Consider the following 22,190-nt stretch of genomic DNA (forward strand, 5'->3'; position numbering starts at 1 on the left):
AGTAACTAATTTCTCCTTCTGCCAATAGCTATACTATCAATGGCAGGTCCAGATTGTAGACAAGGGTAGCAAGGATAATGTTTAGAGCTTTGGAGGGGAACCCATGTTGTCTCACAGTTATAGCAGAGTTGAGATGCACTATTCCATAAAGTTTTTTTGTAATATTCCCCTTTCCTTTTCAAATTTATTTTTTCTTTTACCGTAGTAACCCTATGTGAGTGTTAAAATTATTTTACCACTGTGCTAACTTATTCCCTTACTTCATTATTTTCTCCTTGTATGAATAAGTTTTATAACAATTCATCACTCCTTTATTATCTTAACTCTTGCTATCATTTAGAATGAAATTGCCCACTATGCACCTTTCCACAGATTTCGTTTTCTTTACATGTATGTATTTTGCTTTTCTAGCAAATTTGACCTTTACAACCATGTAAGATAAGTAAAATCTCTATAATTAGTATTATGATACTATATAGTAAGTTAGAATCAAGATTTGCTTATATTTCTGTCCTGCTAATAAGCTTATCACGATTTCTGATAATCTTAGTCTCTCTAAAGTATCACTTGACTGTTACGGTTTGTTTTATTTGTTCATGTGTCTATTAAACAGTGATGGAAATATGATACTGCTTTTTATGTTTCCAGGATAATTTACTTCAGAAGTAACATATATAGAGAATAGGATACGTCATATTTTATTGTTAGTTGGTAGGATACATTATTTTAAAAAGAGTGTTCTGGAGTTTTAGAATTTTAATAGAGAATATTACTGCTAGAGATCTCTATGTGCTTTGATCTACTAAAAGGTATTAAGCTATTAAATGTGCCTTTCTAGCTCCTAAGAATCAATAAGATTGCTACTTTCATTTCACTCAGCTTTTATTGTTAATAATAAATGTCAAAAAACACTCAAAGACAGAAAATCGTACACATAGATATTATAGACTGCTGGATCAAGCCAAACTTCCAAGCTTTGTTGCTCATGTAGACACATATCGTTTTCAGAGACTGTAGGTAAACACAGGTTCCCTCTTCCATCCTGGGTAGTGATTCTCCATTTCAGTTAACTTGCTTACTATGGGAGAGGAAAAATTGAGTCATGGATGGTATCTTTTCTTTCACTTTAACAGACATTTCCAATCCATCTATCATATTTTTCAAATATGTAACAGATGTGCAAAATATAAATTCATTTCCTTTAGAGTTGTCAGTACTTGACCCTAAATTTAGCAAAATAATATATATGTCAGTGAATGCAGCAATCATTAAGCAACAGATTAGGAACATCATAGAGTAATACCTTAAATTTGCTTTTAAAATTTTCTTGCCATAGAACTAAGCAAATATTATATAATAATACATCCCTAATCTTAGAGAGATATATCTCTCATGTATTCATGTCATGATTATCAATGATCTGAGAACTTCATCACAATACAATGAAAAATGTCCTTTTGTGCTTCATAGTAAATGTGTAGCTAGGCCGGAAGATTGCCAGCCCCTGCAACGTGCATTTACTATTAAATTATCCAGCAACGAAACATCTAGCAGTATTGAGAGGCTACATGATTTTTTTAGGCAAGGTGATCTTTACAGGTCACACTGAGAACTAGGAGAGTACATCTTCTAGCTCGTATGGGTGGCTGGGGAAGGAAAAAAAGAAGCCTGGATTATGGACAGATGTAAAGCCTAGCAAACATTAAAAAGGGATTCAACTAAAATCTGTTCTTTCACATGGAAACAGACCTACCAGTTGGTAAGTTAATTCTGTGTACTCGTAATGAGCATTTTTCCTTTGGAGCATTTTTCTTAGAAGCATAGATGGAAAATATACAGTGGAGGGAAAAAAGGATGGAAAAGGCATCCATACTGAGCAACAAACAGTGTGCTAATGGAAGAGCCCTATGGTTGCTGCTCTCATCTCTGGTTGAGAGTTTCCAGGCAGTAACTAGTTGGATGATTCTTAAAACAGTATCTTCTTTAATCGCTGAGATAAAACGCTATCATTTCTGGACATGAATAAGCAGGGAGAGCTCTGATGCCTGTAGGAAAGGTGTACCTCTGACTGGATGAATATGCTGTTGAACTCTGCAGAGAGAAATGGAATGGCATAAAATAGTAGAGACAGGAGCACTATTTTCATTACAAAACATTTTAAAAGGTGTATGTGTGTGGGCACACTCAACACAGAGTTAAGGCTTAATTATATGTCTCTGTTTTAAGATGAGCATAAAGTAGGTACACTAAGGTTTCTGCTTTTAGAGTAAAAATTCTGTTGAGAGATGCCATTCTGAAATAAATATTTCTATGTGCTAGATGAATCACAGAATGAAATGTACATAGGAAAAAACCGTCATTCCTGCCTTCTATCACTAAACAATTTCATCATTAAAAAAATATTTTCTCAACTTATTTACATATAATATTTTCTCTCAGTTGCAGTATAAAATAAGGTAAAGAGAAGGATAGAATCTGTGGCACTCGGTCCTTCTATATTTGTTTATGTGGAAATAAGGCCAGGCTGTAGCTTTACCAAAATGTACAGAGCTCTTCTACCCAAGTATATGTGTGTTAATTGGCTCATTTGTTACAGATTTCAAGCAATATGCAATGGCCCATGGGAGGAAATGTTGGCATTAGTTTTCAGAAACAATGGCATTCCTAAATAGAAGACATAGATTTTTACATAAAACCTGCTTTGTAGCTTTTTACAGTATAGTTTTCACACATATTGTTACAACATATATACTTGTTTCGGATTCTAAAATTTTTCCTTGATTCTATTCTACCCTTCTCTCCAATTCATCACGAAGTTCCATCAACGTTGCTTCCAAATCACATTCCCAAAGTGGGCACTTCTCTCCATCATCCTCTCTGGCTTAGACTAGGGTCCCTTGTTCCACACTCCCACACCTTCAATCTCTTTCTCACATAGCTTCAATATATAAACGTTTTAAATGCATATCTCTTCATGTCGTTTCCCCATTTAAACTTATACAAAGGCATTTCATCATCCTTAGTATAAAAGCCAAACCCTCATTGTCCTACTTTTCCAAGTCCTGCATTTTATGGCTGCTGCCTACATCGGTGGCATCTCTCATCACTCTTCACACACCCACTTCTGTCTCTCTGGTCCTCTTTCAACTCCTCTAAGTTATCAAGGTCATTTTCTTTATAGAAATTTTGCCTCTGCTTGGAATGCTTGTCCAAGATGCACAAGAAATGCTGCCAGAAATGCTGATCTTTGCAAGATTGATTTCTTATTCAGATCTCAGATTAAAAGGGATTTCTCAGTGAGGCCTTTTTTTTCCATTACCATCTAAATTGTCCCCCAGTCACATATCACTTCAATTAAATACTCTACAAGACATATATCATTATGTGATAGTTTAGCTATTTGTGTGTATGTACATGTTTGTGTGTCTATATATACATATGTATATATATGTACACATATATGTATGCATCTGTATATGTGAATATATTATATGCCCTCACACTAGACTATGACCTCCTAGGAAACAGATATTTTATGCATCTTATTTATTTCTATACCGCTAGCTCTTAGAACAGGGTCTTCTAAATAGTAGGTGCTCAATAAATATTTATTTAATATTTAAATCTGTTTCTGTCTGTCTCTCCCGCTGTTTTCAAGAGAAGAAACTTTAGTGAAGCAATACATACACATATACACATATATACACATACATACCCATATCTACATATATACACACATATACGAATATACAGGGGTGTGTTTGTGTGTGTGTGTGTGAGTGTATATATATATATACACTCATACACTCACACACACACACAAACAGCCTTGACTTCTGGATAAAATCAGGGAAATAATTGATATTCCTTGGTCACCAAAATAATAACCTTTAGTTTTTATCCCATATTGAAAAAAAAAAAGACGTGTTTACTTAGCAACCCAGGTGAAATGTGCCTTACTTATAGAATTAAGTGATTCAAAACATAAATAACTGTGCATAGATTAATTTTTCTAATAAAAATTTTTGCAATTAAAGAGTTATGCAATTGATTCCAAGTATGTGTTTTCATCTTTTTGCAAAGTTAAATGACTTTGCTAACTGAAATTCAACCTTTTATAAGAGAGACCTGGCTGCTCGTGAGAGCTCTGACCATTAGAAATACAGGTGATAGGAGTGGATATTAAAAGTGAAGCTCAATAGATGCTTATTCACAATTATTCTTAACATTATTTAGTTTTATTCAGGGATTGTGTTCTAAGGATATGTCAAAGTGGACCTATTCATTAATATGCATGTGCAAAAATTACCTGTAAATAGACATTCATAGTTTTCTTAAATTATAGGTTAGCAAGGTTATAATAACAATCTTTGAAACATTATTACCTTATCATTTAATTTTTATTTAACTAAACTTTTGTATTTCAATATAGAATATTGCATTTGGATTCACGTTATTACTTTTAAAAACTGGCAGTTAACAAACATTTATGTCAAAATTAGAATTCACTAAAATTAGTGCCGTGTGCATAGTACTCTCTTCACCCTCCAAAATGCAGCACAGTTTAGTTAATCCTCAAAAATGTTGGTTCAGGATTCTGGAAGCTACTTTAATCTTTGATGAAATTTATATATTAAATGAGAAGCGGTATCAAGATAAACCTAAAACATATTTCGGGTAAGTTACATGGTGATAAATCTATAGAGTAACATAAAAATATAACCTAGTATGGGTTAAGCAACTATTTTACAGAATGAAAGATAAAAATGGAAAAAAAAAGTCATGCAAGAAATCTTAAAACAGTTTTTAATCATAAGGATATTATATTTAAGTATGGGTGGATTACTGCAAAAAGTGATTTTTGTATTCTGAAATGTTCACTGACGTTAATATTTTTAAAATAACATACATATTAAGATCATTTTTTCTAGTATACATGAGATTATTTTTCAGTTGAGATAATTAGAGAATAGGAGGCAACAAATGTATTTACTTCATTGCATTTTGAATCTGAACCAACGCCCTTATGGACTCTCGTATGTCCTGACGTCATGTGCAAACGTTTTTTCATGTATCATTTTTTGAGTGAAGGTGTTTTGCTTTTAGAAGATCAACTCTGATCCATCACTGGTTAAAAACTTGGTCTAAAAGGATTTATATAAATGACCAAGCCGAAAGTCTTCAGTTTTTAGATGAGGAAGCATAGATGCATAGAGGTTAAATTACATGCAAAATGGCTCTCAGCTACTTTATCACAGAGCCTACATGAAAAATCAAAATATGTGGATTTCTCAGTCAGTATTTTTCTACTATATCACAGTTCTCCTTGTGTTTATTCATAGCTGATTTACGTTTTTCTTTTAATGGATGACAGTAATATTCTCTTACATTTTCACAGAACTTAAAGTATTGGACCAAATCATGTGATTTACTTTCAGGTAGAGTATTTTAAGGAAAGAGTAGGAAAGGGCTCACAATATTGAAGTAGGCGGAGCTAAATGATATAGGATAATCCACTTCAAAAGCATTTTTTTCATACTTGAAATTTCACTTTACTTTTGTCAGTTTGGAATGTAAAAAAGTATTATAAAAGAAAAAATGCATACATTTTTTCAAATAAAGCATTGATTTTATTCATGAAGTTTTCTTGTAATTACATAGAACTGACAGTTACCGCCTACAGTTTAAAATTGCAGTACTTTTCATATTTTAAGAACAGCTTTTTTTTTCTTGTATAAGCATTCCATTTAGTATGAGAAACCAGTGGAAGCTATCAGAGGGATGAAAAGGGATTTATTCAAATATAATTTTTAAAAGAGTTCCTTTTTATGAAGCAGATGGGGTTACTATATGACTGTTGAGGAGGAGGCGTGTACTGGTGAGTTGGGACCTTCTCAACCTGGTGGTTATCATTTAAGTAAGAGCTTTGGTGCTGTTATCCACTTTTACACTGTGATCCAAATAGGCTGCTGCATGTAGCTGAGCATAATGGGAGCAGATAAATGTCCTTCTTTTTTTGTACAGGCAAAAGCAAATAAAGTAAACTTTCCTCTTACAATTGTTTCCAATGTCAGTCAGTGCAATTAGTAGTAAGGAAAACTACCCTATTATTTTTTAAGATAGGGAAATGTGAGTACCTTTCACCAAAAAAGACACATCTTACCATAATAATTCTAATGATATACCTCAAGTTCTAACACTTCTACATCTCCACTAATAACTCTTAGTGTTTATTTATTCTTTATCATCCTGGGACCACCCCTGGGGGAGGACATTAGTGACATAAAGCAGAAAGAAAGTAAACATATGGATTCCAGACTAAATGGTAACAATTTTTCTCCCTATTGAACACTAGTCCTTGGAGAGAAACAAGCAGCTTGGGCTTCTGGGACTCTTTAGACTTAATTTTGTTTCGAAAATCCATTCTGAATGCCATTTTTAAAAAGATAAACTGCCAGAAAACAAAACAAGTTGACAAGTTAGAAATTATTGTACACTGCATTTGTAGAGAACAGAACATACCTTTAACCTGAAAAGCTCGTTATTGGAAAAAAGGTGCTGTACCACTCTTCAGTTTATTGTATACAGCGCTTGTTGGAAGTGATTTCCTTTTGACAAGGTTATACAGGATCTGTTGTGCTCTAATAAGCTCCAATAACAAAATGTGGTGGCATTTTCTAAAAAATCCTTCATTAGAATATAAAGAAAAGGACACTTTTCTGTTGTTTTTAATTGGATGATATTATTTAGAGCTCTAACACTTTTAAAAACACTGAAAACCTGCGTTTAGAATATAGAACTATTCTGTATGCTGCATTTTAATTTTTTTAATACTCCTTTAGACTGGAAGACTCTTAACAGGAATTATGAAAAATCATCTCACACATGATAAAAGGGAGAGCAACTTTTTTCAGGGATTAACCATGTATAAGCTTCTGTTACTGATTCATATTTTTAAGAATGATACTATTGCCTATCTACTGGTATCATTATCATCAGGAGTGATGTTATTGATAAAGCACCTGTCATTTCTAGAACTGTGGTCCATCCCTGTAGTCCCAGCTACTCAGGATGCTGAGGCAGAAAGATCGTTTGAGTTTAGGAGTTCAGAAATGTAGTGCACCATGGCCATGCCTGTGGATAGCCACTGCATTCCAGCCTGGGCAACATAGCAAGACCCCATCTTTTAAAACAGACAAACAAAAAGCACCTACCACATTGAAAGCATAGAGCTAGCCACCCTGATGAAGTGCAAAAGTTTACCATGAAGTTCATTCTCTCTATTATCTTATTCTCATTTGTTCAGGAAACAAAAATGCAAGCAATATATGTTAAGTATCAAATGAATGTTACAGCTTCTCAATTTCCAATCCCAGATTTTCTGAAGAGCTTTGAGTTATAATCAGTGTACTGCATACTTTATTATTAAAAAGAGCTAAAATAATAGAGTTTACAAACTGATTATGTAAACTAGAGCAAATTTGAAAATGTTATTATAACATCGCACATTTTTAATTTGTGTTTTCTACTGAGGGACAGAAATGGATATAGAGCTAGTGGGACACACATAACTGTGGGTCCTCCCATAGCAGTATGTCATGAATGGAAGCATTATTGGTCATGGGGATTTGGGTGGGACAAAGTGAAGGAAGCAGTAGATAAACTCAAAAAGTACAATGGGTGGTGAAAGGAAATTAGGTGGGCTTAGCTGGTCAAGGAAGTCTTCACAAACCAGGTAGGAATCAGGCTGAGATGTGAGAGTAGCATTTTGTTAGGTATCAGGAAAGGATGGCTATTCTGAAATGAAAAGCTAATGAGGGATTGGCTCAGAGTATATTTGTCTAAGACAAAGTGATATTTTAAAAGACAAAAACATGTTAATTTATAAGGCTGAGCCTACAGTTTATTGGGAGAGGGAAACACATAAATATAAACATGTACACGGGTGTCTGCAAAATGCTTAAAAGCTCAGAGAAGGAAGATATTAACTCTTTGCAGAACTGGGCCATGCTTTCCATATGAGATCCTATTTGAACCAGGATTTAAAGGATGGACATGAATGAGATAACAAATGTGAAACAGGGTGTGCCTCTGAGAACCTACAGCACAAAGAACAGGAAGAGCTATGTCTAGCTCTGTCAAGGGGGTAAAGCACTTGTGTCAGAGGCAGATGTCTTCTTGTATGCTAGGCTTAAGCTTCTTTCTCTACATTAACTTGGCACTTGAAAAATTAATAAAACAAGCCAGACATGTATCCTATGAGGAACTCTAGCCCCTGTTGTAATAGGAAACCACAAAGTTATGGCTACCTCAACACAATAGTGGGTGGTGCAGTTTTGGAGTTCCTATCAGAGTCACGCAGGTTAAGCAGGAGAGATGATGGACTGATGAATTTATCATATTCAAGTTTAGCCATGGTCCTGTAAACAGATTTTAGTTTCCTGATTTGGCAAATGCGTTGTTTTAGCTGAAATTATACTTCTGCATGTGACTAAGTTCTTATAGAAGTACTCAGATTATTTACATTGCATTTATTGGCAACCCAGCGTTCACTCACATGAATAACTTTTGCAGCCTAGTTAGACTGTCTGCACAATTATGAAATTGTTCTATTGACTTGATTTAGGGGTTCTGTCTGTTATTGAAATACCCCAAAATTTTCCTTTTACATGAAAACAGTACTTTATATATGTTATAAGTGAAATGAAAAGTATAATTTATTACAATTCAAACTTTATGTGTAGGCAAAATTATAAGAAGATATTTTCATATCTTGGAATCTTTACTTTTCTCAGCTTCCTGTCAATAAAAAGGCTCACACTGCCTTTTAAATAAAACTTCTTAGATAGACAGATAGATAGATAGATAGAGGTCCAGGATTTACATAAAATGTGTACATATATAAAATATATGTATAAAGATATATTTAAAGTTTAGATCATGAACACTGGATCTGTATGAATTCATTTCATATCCTATCTAAAACCATCAATTTATTTTAGTGAGTATTATTTATTTTAATATACCATGATATGTGGTATTTAGTATGTGGTGAGAATAAATTGGCTAAATAAATTTAAAACACATAATTATGATTTCATAATTTCAGAGAAATTGTCATTACACATTCCTATATATTGTGATTAAAACTTTTAACAGCCTGAAAACTATTGTTAGATTAGATAGCAAACAAATTTCTTATTAATGAGAGTATTTTAAATTCTGATTTTGATGAACTTCATTGAAATTTATCTTGTTTGGATTTAAATTGAGTCTAAATAATTTATGTATAATTACTAATTTCTCCGATCAGCTCTAGACAAAATTTACTTTCACTTAGTTCATTTTTCAAATATCTTTTTTATTAGAACATATTTTATCAATTGCTGACTCTTCACTCTTTATAACTTAACATCTAAAAATACAAACTACAAATATATAATACGACACAATTAATTTCTTTTGTAAATTTGAAGTGCTGAACCTATCATTTATAACTACATTTTTATTTCAGGCAATTGCATTTATAGTTGGTTAAATTAATACACTCTCCAAGGAACACACAAAAAAATGAGCTCATCTTTTGCAATGTTGAATTCAGAGGTGAAATATACAAATTGAGCTGTGTATTGGATGGTTATCATTTCTAAATTCCAATATTCATAAATTATGCATCACATGCCATAAATTTGACCATGTTTTATTTATAGTTGTCTTGGTGTCTGTGTTCAAATATCATCTGATTAATCATAGGATGTTACCATATAAGGCATATATTAAGACACTCTGACACTGCCATGTCATATTAAGCAAATTACTTAAAATATTAGTATAACTGCAGATTATCTTGTCCTATGGAAAAAATTAATAAGTTAATGTTGAACCAGTATTTAACATTTTTATGATGTATGTGTGCATGTATATAATTTCTCTGCGTATGAATTAGTATTTTTCAATATTGGGGAATATTTTAAGCGGTATCATTTTACAAGGGATAAAATGGGCTGCAGTTTCCACCCTGTACCATATTTGATGGAGTCTTCTTTTCATTAACAGTGTAAGAGGTTTAAAAATGTACAGGATTCCAGGCAGAGCTCTTCTCTTGAAGACCTGATTGTCTAGTGGGACACTGAGAGCAAGAAAAGCAGAGCGGGTGGAAAGTTTAGGTAGAAGACAGACGTTTCATACAACTGTTCTGGTCTTTCAGAGAATTTCAACTAATTCAATTGATCTTACATCGTTCAATTTTAGTTGCTTCCCATTAATATTCTGGTGCTGAATATTTAGGTTATTTTAACTTTTACTATTTCACAATATAGCTGAAATAATGGGGTGGTCTTTAACAAATAATGAAAGAACAGAATAAAACCCTCAAAATTATTAGAAAAGCAAAAATGTTTTAAATGTTTTAAAACACATAGAACAAAATGAAGCTAGTAGTAGTTAAAAACATGTAACAGTAACAGGCATCGGTTTCTTTATGACAAGTCATTTTTTAAACCCAATTGTCATTTTGGCACTTTCCACCAAATTACTTTCAGTCAATTTGTTTTTAGCCACATATGATGTCAGAGAGGAGGATAAGGGAGAATGCTGAACAGATAAAAAAGAACCAGGCTATGTGTAAATAATAATTTGTAATGTTATTTATTTGTGTATTTTAAAAGATTCTAAGGATGTTGTTTTGAAGTGGATTAACAATTATTAAAACTACTCATCTTTTTAGGTTATTTGAATATTAACCTATGGAAAAATGTATGCTTAATGCGTTTTTACCCTTGTAAGAAATAAAGATATGGTTTGCTTTATACAAGAATGCTCCTAGTACTTGAAAATATATAGACTGTCTTTAAAAAATTCAGGATTTATTACTGCCTATATTGGTTGACGTGGTATAAGCGGGGCAAGGTTGGGGGGACTCCAAATACTACTATAATAATAATAATTATTATTATTGTAAATAAAAACAAAACAAAACAAAACTAAACTAAAAACAAAACCAAAATCCTGTGATTTGTATTCCTTCTCTTAATAATTCAGTGATGGGGCTGATTTTGAAAGACTACTTTTCTTATTAGAATAAGATCCAATGCAATAGTATTTGAACTGATTATGTGATAGGAAATAAACCAACATGTTATAATCTGTGATAAATTTGGAAATAACAGATCATTTACATGGAGTTTTAAATGCCTGGTATTATTGTTTGTTCATAAATTTGATATACTTGGAAGATATTGGTCTTTGCAGTTATTAAATGTATATATTTTGAGATCCTAATCAGCAAATAATTTTGCTAACAAGGTATTATTTTCTATTTTAGATAAGTATAAAAGTTAAAATTACACATTTTTTAAATTTAGAAAATGTTTTCATTTACCTCCAGTCTGCCTAAACTGTTTAAGAAATCTTACCTTGAAATAAGGAGTTATTATAACAATTAGTAAACAAGAAGTATCTTTGTCCATATACATAATCTTTCTTCATTTATAATGTCGTTAAAGTCAGTTCTACTTTATGATAATGGTAGATCGCACTCCAGGCTTTACCCATTTTCCCTAGTGATTAATGCAGCACCACTGAGTTTTAAGAAGGTTGTTTTCTTAATCTGACTGGCCAGGAAGCATTTTCCCTGTCGAAAAACAGGTGTAAACATCAATATTCAAGATAAGAGAGCGATCTCATGCTGTTTTCTGGTGTATCCAGTGTAGAAAATTCAGCGGGTAGAGTCTACAGAGTGAGTAGGGCTATTTATCAGCAGTAAAGTACTAGAAAATGTTTGGTGTGACTCAAAGACTTTAACTGAGAGAATGACAGGAAACCTTTTAATACAAAATAATCTGTCAAACACTCGGAATATATGAGGGCTATGTGACAAACATGTGAAATCAAACCTCAGCACAGTAATTATTGGTAATTTGGAAACTGTTTCTAATTTCCTCACTGTGTAGATTACATGCCTATTCACTTTAGACAAGATTTGACTCTCTGAGGATCTCACTGAAGTTCTCATAGCTTGACACTGGCTGTATTGTTTCAATGTTCTCTGTGCTGCTCTTCATATTTTCAGCTGATTTTTAGTGAAAGGAAAGAGGATTTGGGCATTAAACACTATTCTTTCTGGGTTTTATTTTTTCTGTATTTGAAGCTACACTTAACTTTTGGCAACTTAACTAATTATGGATTAGAGGTTCAATGTTACACTTCAAGTATATGTTCAGTAACCCCTCCTAGGTATGCCGTATTAAAATAAATCATAAACCTTTCAGAATATCGGGTGCCATGCTAGTTGACTCAATACTTGTTAAAGACTCCTAGGTACTGCAAAATTATTAGAAGGCGTTACCAGTTAACCAGGGTAAGAATTGCAAGACTCTAAACTGTGCATTAACCTCATTTGTGAGAACAGGAGAAGCAAAATAACAATAATAATAACAATTGGCTTCTTTTGTTTGTTTGTTTCTAAAGATTGCTCTCATTTCCTATCATTAAGTCTTCCTAAAAGAAGAAAAAAATCAAAAAGCATTTAACATGCATTTACACATTGATCGTTAACATTTTGTTAATCTTATATGGTGGTATATGTGTTTATTTCTGTATGTGTCATTCTGTTTACTTCTTTGACAAAGCATGTCATTTTTTTTTACCTACATGTTTTTTGCTACTGCATGTCAAACTTTTTAAATGACTCAGTGAACAAATGAATTCTTGTCATTTTACATTTTACTCTAAATATTGAAAATAACCTGCTTACTCTCAAACATTGCTCCAAGTCTTTGCTTTGTGTTGGAGCATGAAAAAGAAGTGAAAAAAATGACAAGAATTGTGTGACACAGTTTTGTACCTGATATTCTGTTAAAGCTTGTTAAAGTTAAACCTCAATAAGTTATATGTATTTATAATTTGAATCATTTGTGTTTCTCTTTTGTTTGCATGATATGATTTTGTTTATATTTTTTTTCCACTCACCAGATGTTCCCAACACTTTGCTTCCCACTACTATCATCCCCTCCCTTACCACTGCAACAGTCACAACCACTGTAGCCATAACAACCAGCCCAACCACATCTGCAACAACCAGCAGCATCAGAGGTACAGTATGTTTCTTTGTTATAGCCTGGAAAGCACATTAACTGGAGCTCTGTAGAAGTTTTTAGAAAGGTTAAAAACATTGAGATTCAATTTTACTTAATTATGAGAAGTAATTAAGTCACCTAAATTGCTATCAATTAGGGTTATTGGAATAGAATATGAGAAATGATGGTACATTTTATTTTTTTTAGTGTTACTTAAGACTATTATCAAAATCTTGCAGAATATAGATTTAAAATATATGGGACTTTAAAATGTTGGTCAAATTTAAAATGTTAGCATGGGACACAGTTTTTGCCTGTCTTGAGAGGTAAACAAATAAATAAGATGTTCATGTGTGCAGAGGTAGCTTTTACTTTTTTAAAATTCTAGTTTAATATTAATAACTTGCCACTCCTCTGCAACTATGTTAAAATATCTATAGTTTTGAAATTGTTCTAAAATTGACATAGTCCATGGGGTCAGTATAAATTATTCTCCACATAGAACTTGCAAGTAAATATTCAAAATACATGTATCCCAAAGTGATTTGCTGAGTGAAGCTACTTATTCTACTAATAGAATGTTCTAAAAGTAAATATCTGTTGTCTCAGATGGCTCCATGAGTAATTTCTGATATCATTATACAAATAAGAATTTTATTTCAAAGAAATCAACCTTAAAAAGGTGGGAATATCCATAAAGGCAGAAGAAGTAACTATGTTGTGGTTGAGAAATATAAAAAGTATTCCTGAGCAGTCATTAAGTGGTTAGCAGCTGATGAGGAAATTAAAAAAAAATGAAGCCATTATAGAAAAACATGGTTTAATTTCTACATAAGCAGTGCTCAGAGAGAATTTGTCGTATTTAAGTCTGTCTTTTTCTTATTTCTTATATATGTTTCATGTCACCTTGGCTCTACTAATATCTGTGAAATTTAACAATTTAACTTGAAATTAATGAGGACTTTATATTATTATATTTAATTCAGTTGTATGAAGGTTATGTTTAGCATTATTATTCATAATTATTAAAGGTTGTTCAGTTAGATGGTTTTCTTGGAATTTTAATTAATTCTAGATATTAAGTTGATTTGCCGTCTTTGATTTAACAGTTATAATAGTCTTTGTTTCAGAAAAAATTCTAATGTCTGATAATTTTCCATTTTTTAATAATGACATCAACTATATTATACAATGTACAAGATTGATGACTAAATAAGTTTAATGGTAGTAGCAATAAGAATTTCTCAGAAATAGCTAGGTATGTTTTTGTATGACTGAACTTTATTTAAGCTAAATCTGTAAGTGAGAAGAGTGTGAAGGTCTTTCTTGTAAAAAATTATATAAAAATGGGAAAAGAGACATAATGAAAATGAAGAAAAAGTTAGAAGTGCTTTATAATATTATGTAAAATGAAAGTTATCTAAAGTTCTACTTTGCTTTAATTTGTGATGCTCTGTAAGGTTTTTCACAAACGGCAGTCTAAATAAAATGTAATCATTGCATACTAACACAATATCTGCTATACTATTAAGTTCTGACTATATAAACAAATCACTTCAATGGGAAAGGAGGGAGATATATTGACTTTTTTTAAAAGATCCATTTGTAACACAAAAATCTAATATTCAATTATGCCTTCTTCTTCAACAAATATGTATTGAATATATGCTATATGTATGGTGTTATGCCAGGACCTAAAATTATGACAACTACTGGCATCTAAAATCACTAGCAATCAAATGTATACATTTCTCCCCACCCCCAACAAACAGTTTTTGTGCTTAATCTTTATTGAAAAGTACTATTGTTCTTTGTGGGAAAATATTACATGTGGTCTTCCGGTCTTTTGAAAAAAAAATCCATAGTATTTTGCTTCAGAGGACTATATATATGTATATATATATAATTCTGTTTCAAAGGACTAAATATCTATCTATCTATGTAATTTCAAACCTACACACACACATTTACACACACGCCATTATAGACTATTATATGAGAAAAATATTTCAAAGTGAAACTAACAACATTCTTTTACATTGGTTCACATGAATCTTAAGTGGGATTTGGTCTATTGCATTTTTTTTCCTTCCAACTTTTATTTTAGGTTCAGGAGTACATGTAGAAATTTGTTACATTGGTAAACTAAATGTTGCTGGGATTTGGTGTACAAATTATTTTGTCTCCCAGGTAGTAAGCATAGTATGTGATAGGTAGTTTTTTGATCCTCACCCTCCTGGACCCTCCCATCCTCAACTAGGTCCCAGTATCTATTGTTCCCATCCTTGTGTCCATGTGTCCTCAATATTTAGCTCTGACTTATAAGTGAGAATGTGCAATATTTGGTTTTCTGTTCCACATTAATTTGCTTAGAATAATGGCCTGCAGCTGCATCTTTGCTGCTGCAAAGGATATGATCTCATTCTTTTTAATGGCTGCGTAGTATTTCTAATGCATATGTACCACATTTTCTTCATCCAGTCCACCACTGATGGGCATCTAGGTTGATTCCATGTCTTTGATATTGTGAATAGTGCTGCAATGAACATATGTGTGCGTGTGTCTTTATGGTAGAACAATTTATATTCTTTTGGGTATATACTCAGTGATGGGATTGCTGGATGAAACAGTAGTTCTGTTTTAATTTCTCTGATAAATCCCTAGGCTTCTTTTCACAGTGACTGAACTAATTTATATTCCCACCAGCAGTATGCAAGCATTCCATTTCTCTGCAAACTTGCCTGCATCTGTTATTTTTGACTTTTTAATAGCAGTCATTCTCACTGGTGTAAGAAGGTATTTCATTGCGGTTTTGATTTGTGTTTCTCTAATGATTAGTGATGTTGAGCATTTTTTCATATGCTTGTTAGCCACACACATGTCTGCTTTTGAGAATTATCTGTTAATGTCCTTTGTCACTGAACTAAAATCAGTGGTTTACTCTTTCTGGTAAATTCACTTTTTTTCAGGTTTCTTAACATGTTTTTGTAAACTTTACACCATGGATGCTTAAAGTGCTCAGATAATTTATTTTTCCCTTAAACACTCAACCAACCTCCAAGAAGACACACATGCGTACACACACAAAAAGATATGAACAAAAACCAATCCCTCTTTTTTAACTTAAAGTTTGAAAGATAACATTTTTAAAGAAATCACACAAAAATATTTTTTTAAAAAGTTTTTTTGTAAGCTGGGAAGTTCATATTATCTATTTTAAAAGAAAAAAATAGTAGCATTGAATTTTAATGTTAGCCTAACGCCCATTTTTCCTTCTATCCTCATCAAACATCTGAGGACTGCCTAAGTCACCAGACTCACCTGCATCATTAATATTCTAGTTCATAACTGAAAGTGTGGAGGATTCATTTAGTATGTAAACAATGTTATCAATTTTACACTGTATTCTTTCAAATTATGTGACGTTGTTTCTTTGTGAATTGCCTTTTAAATTAAAACTTTTAGATGCAATTATATTTGAAAATCATTTATTTATAAGTTTGTGAAAGATGGTTCAAAATCATGATTAAAAAGGATTCATAATAAGAATATATTGCCTACGAAAAGCTGAGACCTAAACAGAAAGAATATTTTCAACTTGCAGCATTTCTTTTTGGTTTACTTATTTCATTCCTTTATCTTATTCAATAATTTGAAATCAACTAAATGTATTTGATTTTATTAGGTTTAAATTGTATTTCTTCAAATTTCATAAACTATAGCATTTATCTCCATATTTTTAATAAATGATCACAAATAAATCACTGTTAATATCTCCATTTACACTTTTACAACTCCTGCTATTGCTGGATTTTTCATCCTATGATATGTTAAACCAATTTAAAATACATTTAAAGAATCACAGCTGTATCTATATTAAAAATCAAGATGAAATGGAATGAAAGAAACTACACTGGATTGACAGTGTCATAAACTTGAGAATTTGCGCAACTCTTCAGCTTGTGTTTAAAATGCATCCCTATTTGGAGGAAGAAGAACTTCAACCACATGGAATAAAAACAGGCAATTAGTATCTTATTACAAATAAGGATGTTAAAACACAGAGAAATGAACCAACTTGGGCAGCTATGGGAAAGAGCTGGATTGAGCCCTGGATACATCTTTGGATATGAGTTTCAGTTATTTTGTTTACAAGATGTTTGACCTTCGACGGTGCACCAAATTGAGCATCAGTGTTTTCATCAGAAAAACATGAAGCACAGGTTTGACTTGAGAGTTATATAATATCTAAAGTTATGAAAACATAAGCAATACTCAATAAATGACAGAATTATTTTTTCAGTTCGTTTTAGTAAAACAAACATGTTTACCAGCAGTTGTATCATACCATTAATGAAATGGTAGATTTTCCCCTATAATTACAGTTTTAATCTGGCAAAATTCTTTGGTGTTAATGCACTAATTACTTTTTCATTTCAATTCTATTTTTTTGATTGTATGAAACAAACATTAGATGAAAATTATACTAGAGCATATGGTACCATTTATATCTATCTGTCTATCTACCTATCTATCTATCTATCTATCTATCTTTCATCTATCATTCATCTACCATCTGTCTGTCCTTTGAAGTATAACAGTTCATATACTTTTCATGAAGTTTAAAGTATTCTTAATCTATATCATTTTAATTGTTTCAGCTTTTGGAAATTGCGTAATTTTTTACAGTGGCCTAACCAACCTTAAAATTCAGATTATATATATACATATGTGTATATATATGACACACATAATATATTATACATATTATATATGATCTATCTTATATTATACATAATACAATGCTCTGTATTATGTTATATATGATATATGCTTTATATTACATATGATGTGTACAATTATTCCGATTATATATTATATATCATATGTGTACATATATGTGCACATATGTACACATATATTATGTATGCACATATATTATACATGTTACTTTTTTAGGTCATTGTGATTTTTTAATTAACTTAATATAGTCATTTATAAAATAATTCCAAGTGACTTTGATATGATTTCTAGTATTAATATAAGCATTATTTTAGCATGGAATGTTTAATTTAATAACGTTCTCATTTTTATCATATAATTTTAATTTCATAATAAACCATGTCATAATCTAGTAATCTTTAGTAGCATCCTCATTTTATAGATGATGTTAACTTATTTCAAATTCAGGAGACATATGAAACATAGTTATATATTTAAGTGGTTATGTTTATTTATCATAATTTTTAAATAAGAATTTATAACTGAACTTTTATACTTAGGACAGAAAATTTTCTAAGCTAACAATTGATATTTGTTTTTACCTGCACAGGACAGTAAATGCACTAAATGTAGAGATGATCTGATAGATATGGAAAGATGTAAACCAGTATACACTGTCCTATTACTAAGAGTGGATTCAAATACACCATACATTTCAATGTACCAGATAGGGAAAGAAATCCAAAAAATGGTGATTAAAGTGTTTACACAATCCATGTAAAACTTCAAATGAATTGTTGATTCAAATATAGATTTAGTTTTACATCAGTCTTTGAAATGGTAGAATTATAATTTTGTACTAACAAAAACTACATTATTTGTCTGGTAATCTCAACAAATTTAATTGTAATGAGATTCGTTGCAACAGAACCTTAGTTCAAAATGGTACGGCACACAGGAAAAAAAAGGATTTTTTTAAACTGAAGAAATCAAACTGTCAAAATATCTAGAACTAGAGTTATATTGACAAAACTCACAACATTTTAAGATGTGTACTCAATTCTTAACAATTTAATTGTGCATTAGTTGCCTTGGTCTGTTTGGGGTGCTATAATGAAATTTAACTCAGTGACTTACACATAACAAATATTTACTTCTCAAAGTTCTGGAGGCTGGGAAAGCCAAGATCAAGTCATGGGTACATTAGTTGCCTGTTAAGGGCCCATTACTCATAGATGATGACTTCTACCTGTCTTTCCATGTGTCCTCACATTGTGCAAGGGGCAGAGCAGCTCTCTGGAGCCTCTTTTATACAAGTACATATCACGTTCATGAGGGCTTCACCTCATGATTTAATCACTTCCCCAGGCCCCAGCTCTTAATATCATCACCTTGAGGGTTAGGAATTCAACCTCTGAATTTTCAGGAGGACATTTGTGTCCTCAGGAGGACATATGGTCCAACAGACCACAGCACTACTGTTGTGACATATGTTTAAAAAGGTAACGTTAACTAAAATACTTAAAATGATTCTCGAAGAATAGAATGATTTTTAGTATACGTCTGGAATGACTATAAAACCAGTCTAGAAATTATAGACCCATAATTTTTAGCCCATATAATGCCATTGTATTTTTAAATCATGTGCATCAGAAAACTTAATTCTTTAAATGTAGATGAATTTAGGGATCTGTTTGTATCACTATAATCCTAAAACATTGCTTTCTGAAAGATCTTAATAAATAACTACTTTTTCACTCTAAAAGCATTTGAAACCATCTTAGTGACTTGTAAAAAAAAATCATATACACAAAGTTGAGCTATATAAATTGAAAATAAAACAAAGTTAAGTACACACTTTGGGCCATTGTTGAAAGGTTGGGATGAATTGTCAAACTCATATTTAATGTGGACATTTTAAATGAACTACAGTTGCCTAAAATGTGCACTACGAAAGAGTTTCATTTATATTCAGATTCTCTTACCTCAATTGTTTCATTTTTCTGACTTCAAAATAAAATAAGCTAAAGCAAACACCACATGACATATGTGCACTTCAAACCACTGTCTGAAGCATTTATTTAATTAAACCAGGTTAAGAATCAATAATGTTCTATCCTGCCCTTCTATTCTCTACATCCTTTATATCAAAAGAAATCAAGTCTATCTTTACTTAATTTTTATTTGGTTTCATTACTGTGTCTCTCTTTTCCTTCTTGGTTTAAATGCTTTAAAAACAGAATACAAAGAAATAAAGAAACATCAGAATAAAAGAAAAAGCATTCCAGTACTGAGGGAAAAAAATGAATGGAATAAAATCATTATAGCTCTGAGTTAATCACCATAAATGTACTCAAATAGAACATTTGGAGTAGTAGAATATATCATCTTGACACAGTTAAATCCCAAAGTGTGCAAATCAAGAAGTTGTTTATGAGATTCTATTATGAGTGTTTAGCTATTAAAAATCTTTTTTGTTTTATTGGTGGTAATAAAACACAATTTGCACAATGTTGTGAGCTTTTAAAAATTAAGTGTCAATATGTTGGGGTTTCTTTTCTTGACAAAAATTAAGTAATTATTCAATATCCAGATGGTCCATATAGAGAAACCTGCTTATCTACAAAAAGACTGATTTCTATGTTTAGGGTACAAAAATAGTTTAATTTTCACTAGTCTTTTAAAAAACAATCATGATTATGTTTAGTTGATTAAGTTTTAAAACTAAATATCTAAAATAGTTCATAGTGAAAACAAGGTAGAAATGCTTAAGGAACAAGCACCATATATGTTCTATAGGTGGAGGTACTTTCAACCTTGCTGCGAGTATCACATCGTACATGCTTTTGGAGTGGCTGCAGGCAGGATGTGGGTAGGAATACTGGCTTGGGGGTCCAGGATTTTTAGTTAGCCATGGACCTAAATATTTGAATAGTTGCAATGTATCAAGTTGTGTTATTTCAGGTTAGCATCGAGTGCTAAAGTTTTTATTTATATTCTAATAGACCTTATTTGGTCTATTAGAATCAACATATATAACATATCATTGGTTATATATAACCATTTCCAAAACTAAATTGAGCATTTCCATCTGACTTGAATGAAGTTGAACTCTGACACAATTTGAAAATCTTTAAGTATTTACTGACTTGTTTGCTGCATTTGGAAAATATCTGAGAAAACCTTGTATTTATATTTTCTTTCCACTATTACCTATTAAAGGAAGCAGAACATTTATGCTCTCTTCTATTTTCTAAGGGCACTCTTGTGACTTGCATAATTTAAAACATCAAACATTTTTTAAAGTTTCATTTTAAACTTATTTATTTCTTCAGCTTCCATCAATTTAAACAGAAATCTTCATTCTATTAGCTTTCATTTCTTTTAAATAAACAGGTCTATTTATATAGCAATGAAAATATATTTTCACTGCTCTACATTTAGAAGTGTCTTAATTGATTTTATAGTAGTAACCCAAGATTTAATATAATCTAACAGTATATATGTTTTCTGAAAAACAATCCCTAAGAAAGAAAAAAAGTTCCCCAGTATAAACCATTAAAAAATTCATTTTTATATAATATACATGTTAAAATAAATAAAATTGTTATAATAAATTATAATTATTATAATTAAATATTATAATAAAATATGTTTATATTTATATAATTTATAATATAAATTTATATTTATATAAAATAATATAATAAAAATAATATATAAATAATTAAATATAATTATTATAATTTCAGAAACTATGTTTCCTATGAAATATCGAGGCTAAAGTGAGTTATTATTAATCTGTTCTATATTTAAGAAGCATATTCTACATATATAAGTAAATGTATTTCTAGAACATCTCTAAATTTAAAAAAAAATCATTAATAAACTGGCTGTATCTTTCTTACTAACCAGTGAATTAAATTTACAAGCTGTGCCTTTGAAGCTGAAAAGATTGCAGGCACTGCCCTTGCTTCTTTGACACTCCACATGAAACACAGTTAATAACCTCCTGTATAAGCTTGGTGAAACACCGAATTGATACTAATTATACCAACTTTGGGATAGAAGATGACCTTGACTTCAGCTGGAACTTTCTGCCAGGACAATAAATAAGAGCAAATGCCACAAAGCGTGACTTCTGAGAAGGGTCTAATACAATCTATTAACTTTCGGGAGTTCATGGAATTCCAATAAGTGTTCAGATAATTGTAATATTTTAAAACATCTCTTGCTTCAATAATACAGTAGTTTCTTATTTCTCTAGACTTCAAATAATCCCCCATTAGTTTTCTATACTCATTTAAATTAAGCTATGGCCAGAAAATTAAAAGCTACTTGATGGAAAGTGTGTATAAGGTAACTACAAGACAAGGAAGCAGATTTTTCTGA

The 22,190-nt window shown here is 31.4% G+C and overlaps 1 protein-coding gene across 17 annotated transcripts in view; it reads left to right on the forward strand.

The window, feature by feature from the left end:
• CADM2 (cell adhesion molecule 2) overlaps positions 1–22,190 on the forward strand; it is a 1,115,441-nt gene that overhangs the window by 1,007,203 nt on the left and 86,048 nt on the right. For 8 of the 17 annotated variants that reach the window (NM_001375960.1, NM_001167674.2, XM_017006062.3 and 5 more), the window contains one exon: positions 12,973–13,092. The exons of the other annotated variants lie outside the window; for them this stretch is intronic. In NM_001375960.1, coding sequence (NP_001362889.1) covers positions 12,973–13,092 — 120 coding nt within the window. The remainder of the gene's footprint in view (positions 1–12,972; positions 13,093–22,190) is intronic. 17 annotated transcript variants of the gene reach the window in all.

This window comes from Homo sapiens, chromosome 3, assembly GCF_000001405.40.
Source record: "Homo sapiens chromosome 3, GRCh38.p14 Primary Assembly".
Taxonomy (NCBI): domain Eukaryota; kingdom Metazoa; phylum Chordata; class Mammalia; order Primates; family Hominidae; genus Homo; species Homo sapiens.